The sequence below is a fragment of the Homo sapiens genome, chromosome 3 (assembly GCF_000001405.40).
Source record: "Homo sapiens chromosome 3, GRCh38.p14 Primary Assembly".
In the NCBI taxonomy this organism is placed as follows: Eukaryota; Metazoa; Chordata; class Mammalia; order Primates; family Hominidae; genus Homo; species Homo sapiens.
The window spans coordinates 195,094,537-195,108,658 of NC_000003.12; the positions used below are offsets into that span (position 1 = coordinate 195,094,537).

The 14,122-nt window shown below is 49.9% G+C and overlaps 1 protein-coding gene and 2 long non-coding RNA genes across 7 annotated transcripts in view, besides 3 other annotated features; 1 reads left to right on the forward strand and 2 right to left on the reverse strand.

Moving 5' to 3' along the window:
• Positions 1–14,122, reverse strand: part of XXYLT1 (xyloside xylosyltransferase 1) — a 202,876-nt gene that overhangs the window by 26,253 nt on the left and 162,501 nt on the right. The window lies entirely within an intron of this gene.
• On the forward strand, positions 52–1,521 carry XXYLT1-AS1 (XXYLT1 antisense RNA 1). The gene is made up of 4 exons (NR_104188.1): positions 52–142; positions 749–841; positions 1,063–1,171; positions 1,384–1,521. It is a non-coding gene; the product is annotated as an XXYLT1 antisense RNA 1 (long non-coding RNA).
• Positions 437–1,636: an enhancer, noted in NCBI's record as "CDK7 strongly-dependent group 2 enhancer chr3:194815702-194816901 (GRCh37/hg19 assembly coordinates)". NCBI's record gives its function as "activates an origin of replication core promoter dependent on BRD2, BRD4, P300/CBP, MED14 and CDK7 cofactors, with strong dependence on CDK7, by STARR-seq in HCT116 cells {active_cell/tissue: HCT116}" and the evidence as "EXISTENCE:reporter gene assay evidence [ECO:0000049][PMID:35650434]".
• Positions 8,102–9,301: an enhancer, noted in NCBI's record as "BRD4-independent group 4 enhancer chr3:194823367-194824566 (GRCh37/hg19 assembly coordinates)". NCBI's record gives its function as "activates an origin of replication core promoter dependent on BRD2, P300/CBP, MED14 and CDK7 cofactors, and independent of BRD4, by STARR-seq in HCT116 cells {active_cell/tissue: HCT116}" and the evidence as "EXISTENCE:reporter gene assay evidence [ECO:0000049][PMID:35650434]".
• LOC124909476 (uncharacterized) lies at positions 8,316–12,007 on the reverse strand. Its single transcript, XR_007096226.1, has 2 exons — positions 9,094–12,007; positions 8,316–8,978 (listed from the first exon to the last, which is right to left on the reverse strand). It is a non-coding gene; the product is annotated as an uncharacterized LOC124909476 (long non-coding RNA).
• Positions 11,895–12,064: a silencer, noted in NCBI's record as "silent region_15030". NCBI's record gives its function as "represses an Ori minimal core promoter by ATAC-STARR-seq in GM12878 lymphoblastoid cells {active_cell/tissue: GM12878}" and the evidence as "EXISTENCE:reporter gene assay evidence [ECO:0000049][PMID:35858748]".

The window sequence follows — 14,122 nt, forward strand, 5'->3', positions numbered from 1 at the left end:
ACCTCCGGAAGCCAAGATCTAAGCGCTTCGATCCCACATTCACAAGCCCCCTCAGCGGGGATTCCCAGACGCACGCTTCTCCTGAGAGAGTCCAGCCCCTCCTGGCGGCCGTGGTCCCTGGATGCGGGTGCTCGAGGCCTGTGTGGGTAATCACGCTTCCCGTCTCCACGCCACCCTTCCCCCACAGAGTCGCCTGCCCTTCCACACAGACAAGGGGCCACAAGGCCGCACCTTCCCCTCTCCACACAGCCTGCGAAGGCATCGCAGATGCCATTCTGATTAGCAAATGCTGCCTCTGCTCCACCACGCACCTGTTCTGTGGCTCAGCTCTGCCACTGGCCCTCCAGAAGGTTTTCTCAGCTAACCCCACTGGCCTCCACCTCCCCTCCCAGGGTTCTCTCACATAAGAGTTACTAGATGCAGGGCAGTGCTTCCCAGACCTTACTGTGCGGGGGAAATGTGTGTCCGGGATCTGGTTAAAATGCAGACTGGGATTCCGCATCGCTGACAAGCCCCCAGGTGATACCAACGCTACTGGTCTGCAGGCCACACTTTTGAGTAGTGAGAAGGTGGAGGTAAGAGTGAGGACTCTGAGTCAGGGAAAGTGTGTTCTGGCCCCAGCTCCACCAGAACTAAGCATTACATCTCATGAGACTGCCGTGAGGGCTGCATGAGGTAATGCAGTGTCTGGCTGTCGCGGGAACGCAGCGTGCACTCGCAAATGCAAATTCTCTTCCTCTTGCTCCAGTCTTCTCCCTGTGGCGGTGGTGAGTGTAATGCCTCAGAAGACTCTGCCAGGGCATTAAACAAAGTCATACGCGAACCCCCCGGTGCACGGCAGGTGGGTGATGTGGGTTCTCCTTCCTTGCCTTCCACCATCTGGGACTGGGGCCAGCACAGAACCTGTGCCCCATATGGTCAGGGAAGGCAGGGGGACAGCTCCTAGAGCTGAGCCTTGCAGATGGGCACTCTTACAGCCGGGCCTCCACATCCAGTTTGAGTGCTCATGTGTGGTGTTGGGGAAAGGGGTCGTTCAGGTCACACTGGTGGGCAATTCTTCAGGGGACTTTGTCACCTGTGTGCTTATGCGTGAGCAACAGCGCCTGATGACTCTTGGGAAGAGCCACAACAAAGCGAGGGCCTGCAGGCGGCAGTGGCCAGGGAACCCTAGGTAAGGCCCTAACACGTGCGGTCCCCTGATCTGCGGGTGGGGCAGCCTTCACTGGAGGGGGAGTGAGTCTCAGTGAATCAGAGTGGGTACATGTGGAGCTGCAGGTCAGCAGCTCAACAGGGATGAGTAAGGTGCTTTCAGAGGCCACGTTAACCACATCTGGCTGGGAAGGAACCAGTTAGCAAACCTCTCTTTCCCTGCCCTGTTTCCAGCCCACAGGAACTCAAGCAGCTTCAGAGAAGGTCTTACTTGTTTCCGGGGAGAGGCCAGAGGCTCCGGGAACCCAATTCAATATGTAATATATAGCAGTGTCCACGCTATGGTCTAAGCAAAGGCAAGAGGAGAAATAAGGTTGATGGATGGCTCCATCCTTAGCACGCGTTTATGGACACCCACCCAGCCTTCTCCCAGCCGCCACGGCTCTCCACACACAGACAAAAGCAAAGCCCTTTGACCTTAAGCAGAAAAGTACACTGTCTCAACATACTTTTATAGAGTACCTGCTAAGCCTGGGGCCACCTAGGGGAGATTGGAGGGTCCCTCTAGCATGGCTGCAGCCCATGCACAGCAGGAGGATCTGTGTGGCCAGACGGGGAGGCTGGTGACAGTGGCGCAGACACAGCACTCAGAGGCCTCCAGGTGCGGAGAAACAACATGTGACGCAGACACCATGCTCTGTTCCCAGTGCGTCCCCAACACACACACGTATATATACACGACCATGCCCATGTGCACTTACATAATACACATGCACATACGCACACGTGTACGTAACAGACGCACATGCTGACAAACACACACGATACACACACACACACGCATACATTTCCTCGGCCTTCGGGAAAATGGAGTTCAACCTCCCATCTGAAGTTGAACTCGTTTCTTCAGAAGTGAGTCTGAGTCTTCATTTCTCAGGCACAGATGTGCAAGGAAACCATTCCTTCTCCTCCTCAGGCCTTCTCAGTGCCCTGGTAATATTTACACAGTTATTTAACAAGCAAGGCTGAGCTTTCCTTTCAACTGGCAATTAAAATCAGAACATAGAGACAAGCTTTGTAAAGCTTGGTTTCCATAGAGGATAATTTTCTTCCATGGGTTTAAAAAAATGAGAATCTTGACTGAAACTGTAGGTACTCACGTCAACAGTAATGCCCACTCAGTCTTCCAAATTGAGATAGAATGTGACTACCTTTTGCTGGAGGTTAGAAATAGTTCAAATTTGTATAATTTGTTTCCCAATTTAATAAGAAAAACAACAGGGGTGAAAATGGTCAGGCTGCGCTGAGCGCTGGGCAAAGGCAGGCTGTTCTGATTCCCGCCCAGCAGACCCCTCAGACGGGCTCCCCTGGCGTCCCTCTGCTGGGACTTCCCATGTCCCTGTTGTCTTGAAGAAAGGAACAAGACATATAGGCCGGTTCATTTTTAATCTGCTGCTGGTGTGGCCCAGTCCCCTCAACCAGACTGCTGGCAACTTTAAGTTGGAGACAGTTCTTGGAAGCAGGCTCAGTGCTGAGTTGGTTTTGACATAAGAATACATACACAGACAGACAGACAGAGAGATATACTGTAGCTGACATTTACTAAATGCCAGTCACCTTTTAAACAATTTATATCAATGATTTCATCCTCACTAAACTTTGTGACGCGGGTTACAGCAATGGCAAATGCGTATCAACACGTATCTAGCACCACGTGTGGGTTACAACAGCAGCAAATGCGTATCAACACGTAGCTAGCACCACGTGCCACCACATGCAAGCACTGTTGTGTTTATATCTGTGACCTCATTCAGCTTTCATAAACTTATGAGGTTGTTATTATCATGATCCCCACTTTATAGACAAGGAAACTGAGGCTTACAAGGGTTAAGGAATTGAGTCAAAGCCCCCCAGCTAGTAAGTGGTGAGGTCTGGATTTAAACCCAGGCAGCCTGGCCTGGAGCCCCCACTGATAAGACTGTCCTCGGCTGCCTCTCAGTGCATGGCGAGCACCCTGTGAACAGTCGCCAAGATAAAACCCAGCCCTGAGCACCTCCGCTGGGACCACACAACTGCTTCTGATTCTCCGGGGGAGTGTGAGTGGAGAAAAGACCCTCACACAAATGCCCCCACCCCCCCACCACGCACACACAAAGAAGTCAGGCTGGGCAGGAAAGACGCTTCAAACCAAATGTCTGGACAAAGAAAAGATGAGACTGGTGGAGGGGAACCGAGAAAGGCTCATGGAAGGTACTGTGGTGGTGAATAAGGAAGGACCCACAGAGTCCCACAGTCCCAGCAGTGGGGCGGGTCGGGAGGGGAACAGTGTGCTTCTGGGCCTAGGGGCAGCAGAGAGTGGCGGAGGAGACAAATGTGCATGATTCCACACACAGGAAATACCAAGAACAGGCACGCTCACAGGCAGGTTAGAGCTGGGGAGAGGCAGGAAATGGGAAGTTATTATTGAATGGGTACAGGGTTTCTGTTTGGGGTGATGCACATATACGAGAAACGGTGGTGATGGTTGTACAACATTGTGAATAGAATTAATGCCAGTGACTGTACACTTCAAAACGGTTAAAATGGAGCCAGGTGCAGTGGCTCACGCCTGTAATCCCAGCACTTTGGGAGGCTGAGGCGGGTGGATCACGAGGTCAGAAGATCGAGACCATCCTGGCTAACATGTTGAAACCCTGTCTCTACTAAAAATACAAAAAATTAGCCGGGCGTGGTGGTGCGCGCCTGTAGTCCCAGCTACTTGGGAGGCTGAGGCAGGAGAATGGCGTGAACCCGGGAGGCGGAGCTTGCAGTGAGCGGAGATCGTGCCACTGCACTCCAGCCTGGGAGACAGAGAGAGAGACTGTCTCAACAACAACAACAAAAGGTTAAAATGGCGAATTCTGTGTTATGTATATATTTGACCATAATCTCTCTTCACAGTGGCAGAGGAGGTGAAGCCACGGGCCTTGATGCTGTCAAGGTCTCGGGAGCCCTCCTCGCTGCGCTGGCCCCTGCTGCAGAGCCCGTCATCAGAAGAAAGTGATTTTTTTCCTATGGGTTCTGACAGTTAAGGCCCTGGTGCCTCTTGATGGCAATCAGAGGGACTGGAAAACTCACTCTCTGCCTCATTCCAACACTACCTACGGGTGGGACCCTCCCTGGGCCTCCTGGCCTGCAGCCTGGGGTCTCCAAGCTGCCTCAGGGCTTTCCGTCCCATGTTCTGCCCGAGCCCTGAGCGGCCCTGTTGACTTGGGACATGTGCCCCTTGGCTTGGCAGGGCTGCTGCTTCTCCCTTTCCATCTCATTGCTTCAAGCACAGACCATTCCACAATCACAATGTATTTACTTTCCAAAGCTGTGGATACCAAAGGAAAAACTGTGGTAGCAGAGTACGGTGTAATTAACGTGGAATGTACCAGGGGAACCGAGGACATGGCAGACAGACACCGCGTTCTCAAACAACCGCTTGCTGTTGAAGAGGGTCTATTTTCTCCTCTCCCTCTCCCTTCCCAAGAGATTAAAATAATAAACTCTAAGAAATAAATAAACGTGCTCAGCTTCACACATACGAGGTTGACCCTGGCGCAGGTGCGTGGACTCACGTGTGGGGTAGCAGCTGGACAGCCATGATCTGTGTCCATCACCACCCAGGCATCATGACCACAGAGAGACATATTTAGCACACACATTACAGTGCCTCCCAAACCAGCACCACCATCTGGGGCCTGTGCTGTCAGCCTGGACGCAGTCAAGTCAGCTGAAAGTAAAATCCATTCTCCATAATAAAGGTGTTCACAAGCCCCTTTCCCTGTGCAAGTTAGCAAAGACAGAACCATCTGACGAAGAATTAAATGCAGTAACTGGGCTGGGCGCGGTGGCTCATGCCTATAATTCCAGCACTTTGGGAGGCCGAGGCGGGTGGATTACGAGGTCAGAAGATCAAGACCATCCTGGTTAACACGTTGAAACCCCGTCTCTACTAAAAATACAAAAAAATTAGCCGGGCGTGGTGGTGGGCACCTGCAGTCCCAGCTACTGGGGAGGCTGAGGCTGCAGAATGGCGTGAACCTGGGAGGCGGAGCTTGCAGTGAGCTGAGATCGCGCCACTGCACTCCAGCCTGGGCGACACAGCGAGACTCTGTCTCAAAAAAAAAAAAAAAAAAAAATGCAGTAACTATATTTGAATCTTGTTCAGTGTAAAAGTTCTTAAGAAAAAGTTGTTTCTAAAGTGTAGCTTCAGTCAATAATTGGGATCTGTTTCTCACTGGGCACAAAATGGAGGGAGAAGAGAAAAATTCTCCCTGTCTTACTTAAAAAAGAAGACAGACTAAATAAAGTACAATAAATATCTATAGAATAAAGTAGTGGAAATTTGGAACTTCCAAATTTGCAAATCTGGAACTTCCAGTCCCTGCATAAAGCTGTCTGAGATCCTGCACCTGAAACCAATCTCCCCGCCACCACCGTTCCCCCTGCTTCATGCGACAGGCAAGGAGTGGCCCAGCCATGTCTGTCCCTCCTTTATTCATCCTCTGTGGATGTCTGACGGCCAGATGGACAGGGCTGGTTTCCTACTGGTCTCCGAATCTCCTGCCTCCACACCTAGCATGGGGTCCTATCTGGGAAAGTGTGGCCTATATGGCATGGAAGCCAGGTACAGCAGGAGTTTTACCCACCAGAGCACCGGACAGTGTGCTTTGGCCAGGACAAGGAGGGACACATTTAGCACACACATCACAGCGCCTCCCCCAGAAGGCAGGCATCTGCAGAGTCTTCTGCCCTGGCATCAGGCTAATGTCATGCTCCTCAGTGCCTATAGAATTAACGTCACCTTAGCCCAACACATAAGGCTCCCGGTGATGTGGCCTCTACCCCTGCCAGCCTCCTCCTCCTCTCTCCCTGGCACTCTCCCCGGCACTCTCCCCTGTACTCCACCCAGACCCAAGTTCCTGGGCCTACACACGCTACCCTCACTGAGGCTGTGGTGCCCTTCTCCCTCCTCGTCCACCAGAAAACTTCTTGTCACGAAAACCCAGCTCACAGGCCATGTCCTTTGTTCAGCTCCCTCCTCGCCCCCAAGCCTTGGACTATGTCTATGGTTGTGGGGTTTATACTGATCCTACATCCCTTTCTGTCCTATTAAACTGTGAGTTCTTTGGGGACAGAGACTGTGTCTTTTTATATCGGATATCCCTGCTGCCTAACCCTGTGCCTGGCACAAAGCAGGGACTCAGTCCAAATTTACTGAAGCGAACTAGTCTAGACAGGTATACTTTCACTGTCCAACTGCAAGGATATAACTAGCCTTTTCCAAGACAGCTATAGGTTCCACAGAGCGGCCCACAGCCAAGGCCTCTGCCAGTCTCTGTGAAGGGCTTCTGGCGCAATCCCAGCAGCTCCCCAGCCTCACTGCTGTAATCCACAAAGCACCTCCCAGCACGTGACAGTGAGGCTATGACAAGTACATAATATGTCACCTTCAGAGCCGCCAGGCCTCTTGCCAGTGCTATGCCGTCCTTACGGCGCTTGGGCAGGTACCCCCAGCTTGAATGTTCGACTTAATTGATTGGGAGCAATTAAGGAGAACATGTACTAGTTAATTAAACACTGTACCCCCACTGCCACCTTCATCAAAATCTCTTAAATCACATTAGGAAAAAACAGAATCTCTCTGGCTGGTTAGTATCTTTACTCTCAGGGCATCATGATGATGAAATGGGTAAACACATCCTCTTTTGCAAAACCATTTCCTTCCCATTTATTACTTTTTCTAGAAATGCACACAACTGCTATCACTTTCATAAATATTTTAAAACATTAGTAAGTCCCAGGGACATTCCTTTTGTATACTACATATTTCAGTGAGATTTGGATAAAATATGGCAGTTATACATGTAGCTCTAATTAACATATTTCCTGAATGAAAATGATAACATCTGGCCCCTTTTAAAGATGAAATATATGAAATTGGGATATAGCAAAAAATACATCTGAGCCGGGTGCTGTGGTGTGTTCCTGTTATCCTAGCTACCTGGGAGGCTGAGGCAAAAGGACTGCTGGAGCCCAGGGCTTTATGTCCAGCCTGGGAAATGTAGCGAGACCCTATCTCTATTGAAAAAAAAAGGGGAGAGGGGAAGGGAGGGGAGGGGAGGAGAGGGGAGGGAAGAAAGAAAAAGAAAGTAAGGAAACAGAAAAAAAGGAAGAAACAAAGAGGAACGGAGGAAAGGAGGAAAGGAGAAATGTAAGGAGGAAGGGAAGGGAAAGGGAGGGGAGGGGAGGGGACGGGGGAGGGAGGGATGCGGGGAGGGAGGACAGAAAGAAAGTAAAGAAACAGAAAAAAAGGAAGAGAGAAAGAGGAAGGGAGGAGAGGAGGAATGGAAGGAGGAAGGGAAGGGAAAGGGAGGGGAGGGGAGGGGGAAAAAGAGAATTGTCTGGTATATCTGAGTCTATGTTTTCCAACAGAATAGAATGAATGTCTTCTGAATTCTATGTAAGATATACAACATGATATTTTGAAATACACAGGTAGTGAAATGGTTACAATAGTCAAGCAAATTAACATATCCATCAATTCACATTGTTACTCATCTTTGTGTGTGTGGCAAGAGCACCTAAAACAAACTCTTTTCGCAAAATTCATGAATACGATATTATGGATGATAGCCCTCATGTCACACATGAACCCTCTAGACCCGTTCATCCCACACGTCTGCTACGCTGTATCCCCTGACTGGTATCTCCCCATTTCCTCCCTCACCCTCGCCGTGGCCACGGTAACCATCATTTTCTTCTCTACCGCTGTGTATTCAGCTTTTCCTCTTTTTAAAAAGATTCTACATATAAGTGAGATCATGCGACATATTTTTTCTCTGTGTCTGGCTTATTTCACTTAGCAATAATGTCCTCCAAGTTTCATCCACGCTGTGGCAAATGGTATGACTCCTTCTTTTTAAAGGCCGAGTAATATTCCGTTTTGTGTGTGTGTGTGTGTGTCTTGTATGTTACAATTTCTTTCTCTATTCATCTATCAACAGACATTTAGGTTCTTTCCGTATCTTGGCTACTGTGAATAACGTTGCCGTGAGCACGGGAGAGCAGTTATCTTTACGAGGTAGTGATTTCATTTCCTTTGGGTCAATGCCCAGAAGAAGGACTGCTGAGTCATATAGTAGTTCTAGTTTTATTTCTTTAGGAATTTCCATATTGTTTTCCATCATGGCTGTACCAACCTACATTCCTACCAACGGTGCAGCGTGCTGGGGCTCCCTCTTCTCCACACCCTCGCCAACAGTGGCTATCTCTTGTGTTTTTGACAATGGCTATTCTATCAGGTGTGAAGTGAGAATGACTGTTTTCTGATTTTGCCAGATTTTTATATGTCTAAGGAATCAACCCCGTACTGCCAGCCTGCACTGAACGGGGAGAAGTGGCGGCTCACGCTAGTAACAGTCAGTGCTGTGGGGGGCAGATAAAAGGGAGCCTAGGAACGCTGGACGGAAATGCTGATTTGCTCCAGATAACAGACTGGAATTCCAGGCCATGAGGCTGGGCCTAGTTTAGTTAATGCTGGGCCACTGGTGGTTCTGTGACAGAAAAACAGGAGTGCAGGAATGCACCCCCACACCAGCGACCTGCGTCCATCACCCCACGCCAGCGACCTGCGTCCATCACCCCACGCCAGCGGCCTGCGTCCATCACCCCACGCCAGCGGCCTGCGTCCATCACCCCACGCCAGCGGCCTGCGTCCATCACCCCACACCAGCGGCCTGCGTCCATCTCTTCTGCATTTGTTAGAGGCTGCATGGGCCTAAATCACACACACTCAGAACCTAGAAAGAATCAGTGTAGGTAAAACAAGAGAGAAATTAATTTTAAATAGGAACATGTTCTTTGTCTTTTGAAGCCTTTTAAAGGCCCTTACATTCACTGTCGCTGTGCCTTTACCTAGACTCAGATAAATGACAGAAGAGGTGCTGTTCTGTGAGACCTTTAGAATCCATCAAGGGGAAGTCACTGGGCAAGAGGAATGAAATTCAGGCCCTGAGAAACTAGGGAAAAAAAAATTAGAGAAACAATGCAATCTTGTCAGGTGACCAATTCCAAGTGTGTCCTTTGACCTCATGGAATAAAAGACAGTCCCTGGCATAACTAGCTGAAAATACTAGCTGGGGTCATATGCTTCTGATTACTGAGAAAGGCCAGCACAGGCTGAGAGTCCCTATGCTCCTGCCTAACCCTGTGGCCTCTCCAACGAGGGGAGAAAGGTTTGACGCACTAGAAGTTCATCACTTTAAGTCTGTTGTTTGGAATTCTGAATACATTTTCCTATAACAACTATTTCCAACTGGTGTTTGGGCGCCTTTTTAGACATTACATACAGATGGACCCACAGTTTAGAATGGGAGCAATGGGGAAAGGAAAATGGGAGGTCGGGCCCATGAAATCTACTGATGAGTAGAAGCCCTTTGGGAGCACACACCCACTGTGACGGTGATGACGGTGATGAGGGCTCCGTGTGTGTGTGTGTGTGTGTGTGTGTGTGTGTGTGTGTGTGTGTGTGTATTTTATGAGAGGGCAGATGCCATGAGAGGAAAACGAGGCTCTAGGAACAGAAACAGAAGTATGAAGAAGTGGTTCAAAGACAAGAAGTAGCAAGCAGAGGAGATGGTTCTGAGTCCCAATCATTCCTCAGCTTAAGTTCTTCTTTCTACAATACTTCACTTCCCAGGCAGCAGTGCCCAGGTGAGCAGTTCCCTTGCGGGGAGGGGGTGGGGCAGCAGTGGACTCATGCTGCCTGCTGGGAAAGGGTATGTGAGATTCAGCTGCTCACACGACCATGTGTTCACTGAGCAGGGGATCACAACCTCAAGCTCCCAGAGAGCAAGGCAGTGGGGACGAGGCGGGGACCCGGGAGATCCAGACAGCGTGGCACGACCACCTGAGAGAGGCTGCTGCTGTTCAGCTGAGGCCAGGGGTTCTGGAGAAAAGGCAGGCCTAGTATCATCCTGACTTCTGAGTTTTAAAGGAAAGCTACGGAATACCTTGATTTTAAATGTTGGCAACTAATACAAAGTAACAACAACAACAAAATGCTACAGGCAAAAACAAAAACAAACAAAAAAAACCCCACACCAAAAACCCTCTTCTGTCTGGTCTGTGGAATATCAGTTTGCAGTCCCTTTCCCAGTGTCTACAGTTAGAATAAACCATTTGGTTCTTTGATTCGCAAGTCTAGCTACAAGCCAGAATCACTTTGGGTACATGGTCAAAACGCAGCTTTGGAGACCAACAGTATTGGGATGCCTGGGACAAGGCCTGAGAGCCTGTCTTTTGAGGTGCCCTGGGGATAGTGGTGTGGCTGCGCCGCATTTGGAAACCACTGGCTGGTTTGTATTTCATCCATATAACCAACTGCTCACTAGTGTTTCACACCTCCAGTTCATAATGGTCAAATACTATCACAAGAATGATAAAACCACAAAATATGCTGACCCCATGGATAGGAAAGAGGTGAATGTCAAGGGGACCTGGGACACAACCAAGTGTGTCAAAGTGTGTCTTATCTAAATGGTTTATGAAAAATTAAAACTCTATAATATATAAGCATATGTTTTAACAGACGAATTTTCCCTCTACTAAATCTTTGAGTAAAACTGACTCTTCAGGAAGATGCAGTAAGCTTTGATCCTGTGACTGGAGAGTACAGCTGTCCCCAGGATATTCACCAAAGTTTAAGAGAAACAGACATATCTACACACCGTATCATCATCTCGTCTGACTTACGCCCAAAGGCAAAGGGCCACGTGAAGTCCACAGCAGGACTCAAGTGCAAAGTCAACAGACTTTTATTTAAACTTCTGTTCAAAGGTATGTGAGTGTTGAAAGTGTGTCAGATGGTGGAGAAAATGACATAACAGGAAATTGTCGTTTAACAACAGAGTCCATCCCTGAATGCTGCAGCCAAGTCTGCGCCTCCGCGTCCACTCACGGGGCCACCGAGCAGTGATTTGGAGACCTGTTTCAACTATCAGCGGGGGCCAAGGGATCCCTGAGCCAGACCTACACCATGGCAGAGCCCCCCAGGTCATTTTCCCACCGTCGGTGAAACTGTGAGGAAACCATGGTATTATTCCTGGCCTCCCTGCGCTTCCCTCTCTCCTTTCCTGGTGACGTTTCCAGCTGTCACCAGCATTCCATGGCATACTTCTTATTCCCCACCTTCCCTTACTCTCATATCATCACTTCTTAGTAAGACTAAAGCCTTCCCCTTTCCTGTATTATTTACTTCTGATTAATGTCGGCAGCATTTCACCGGCGCGTAGCATTTAACTATTGACTTGAACACCATAGGTATTGCTTCTTATGGAAAAAGAATACTTTAAATTAAACGTGGTCTCTTTATCCAAAAGTGCCCAATTTGTTATGATTAATAAAGTTACCAATCAATAAAGTTACTTCATATGATCACTCTGAAAAAAACAATAAAACCTCTTTGTGGAAGCTCAATACACTGCCATTCTGTCATTCACTAGTGTTCTCGACGGAGAGGCGCTCTTGCTGTGCTGTGTCGTTTTTGATGGAGAGATGCTCTTGCTGTGTTTTTGACGGAGAGATGCTCTTGTTGTGTTTTTGATGGAGAGATGCTCTTGTTGTGTTTTTGATGGAGAGATGCTCTTGCTCCGCACTCCCACCTAACCCTCACCCCCAACCCCCTGAAAGGTTCTGGCCCCAGCACGGCCCCGCACACACCCTCTCTCACTGGACTTGCCCCTTCCCTTCTCCCGGGCCTCACGGCGGTGTCTACGCCGGGCTCGCTGGAACCTTCCAGGGCTCGGTGATTCGGGGCTGCGGTGGGAGGGCCCTGAGTTCTTAGACCCGCGTGCAGATCCGGCCGCGACACAGGCGAGACCCCTGCCGGCGAGGCGCGGAACTGCAGGCACGCCGCGGCAGGGAGGGCCGCAGAGCGGGAGGGGCCTGGGGCGCCCCCAGCAAAGAAGCTGGGGTGGGGGGCTGGCCACCCATCAGGTCATCAGGAGCCAAGTCCTCTTCCACACTTCTTTCACCACTGTCTTCAGCTGCCACCTCTGTCTGCCTCAGGACCATCAAGCTGTCTGGCTTCCGTCCTAAGACCCTGAGACAGAATGGAACCCTGGGCACTTACCCTCCTAGGCCAAGGCCAAATTCTCCAAAACACCCCCTAGAGGTGGGGGTGACGGGGGGAGGAGAGTAGACACTTGGAGCCCTGGACATCGGGCCAAGCATCCCACAGACGACAGATAAACGGCTCCCGGATGGTAATACAATCAGAGGCTCCACAGAATCTTTTTCTGTTGGCAATGGGATTAGAAAATAAAAATAAATCCCAAACACACACAGGCACCTGCCCTTTGCCTGGTGGAATGGAGAGCTCTCGTTTTGTTTTGCCCAGAACGACTTTCATTTACAGCTTCACATTTTCAGCAAGACGAAAAGCTGAGTCCAGACGCCCTTCAAAAAGAAGAGAGGTGGCCGGGTGCGGTGGCTCACGCCTGGAATCCCAGCACTTTTGGAGGCCGAGGCGGGCGGATCACCTGAGGTCGGGAGTTCGAGACCAGCCTGACCAAGATGGCGAAACCTCGCCTCTACTAAAAATACAAAAATTAGCCGGGCATGGTGGCGGGCACCTGTAATCCCAGCTACTCAGGAGGCTGAGGGAGGAGAATCGCTTGAACCCAGGAGGTGGAGCTTGCAGTAAGCCAAGATCATGCCACTGCACTTCAGCCTGGGCAACAAGAGCAAAACTCCGTCTCAAAAAAAAAAAAAAAAGGAAGAAAGGAGGAGGAAGAAGAAGAAGGAGGAGGAAGGAGGAGGAGGGGGAGGAGGAGGGGGAAGAGGGGGAGAGGAGGAGGGGGAGGAGGAGGGGGAGGAGGAGGGGGAGGAGGAAGGGGAGGAGGAGGGGGAGGAGGAGGGGGAGGAGGAGGAGGAGGAGGAGGGGGAGGAGGAAGGGGAGGAGAGCCACAAGTGCCAGGGGGGCAAACCTAGCAAGAACAGTCAGTATTCTCCGCACTGTGACCCCGTCCTCCCTGCGCTTCTGGCGGGGATCCAGCCCCTCAGTGTTCGGAATCCTCATGGCCTCATGAGGCCAACTTGGTAGAGACACCACCTCCTTTCTTAAATGAGGAAAATGGAGACTCCCACGTGGAGGCATCACCCGCCCAGGCCTCCGCACAGTGGGGCCCTTCTTCCAGTCAGCTGCTGGCCAGTGCTGAGGAGGGTCCCTACACACAACACAACCCATTTTATCTGGCCAACACAACTCTGATGCCATTCGGCTCTCATGCAGTTGAACCGTGTCAGATGAGAAGTGGCTGGAAACCTCCCTCTAGCTGTATGCATCTCCCACCACTCCCCATAGGGGGGTCTGGCCTTTCATCTTACAGAGAGACCTAGGTGACCTGCAGAGGCAACCCTGGGTCACCTGAGCTGCAAGTCCCAGTTCTGGGCCTGGCCTGCAATGTTCATATATTCTTCCATCCATTCTTGTTTTTCTTTACTAAACATAACTGCATGTTACAACCAGCTAGGCATAAACATTAATTAGAAACGCAAACCACCATACTGATAAAAACATGCAGAAATCCTATGAACCAGCGGCGTAACTGGGAACTTTCTCAAGAGCCTTTGACTCTTATCAAACTGCTAACTCTTGTTTTATTTGAGACTTAGTAGCATCTTCCTAGTTTTTTAGAAAATTGATTTCCTGTCTGTAAAATACACATTTGGAGTAAAAAATCTGGAAAACTTTACAAATCGTAAAGAAAAAACAACACACATATACAGTCACGCATCGCTTAACAACAGAGTTTGCTCTGAGAAATGCATTGTTAGGTGATTTCGTCTTTGTGTGAACACACAGAGTGACTTCCACAAACCTAGATGGTATTGCCCACCACACACCTGGGCTGTATGGTACAGTCTGCTGCTCCTAGGCTAC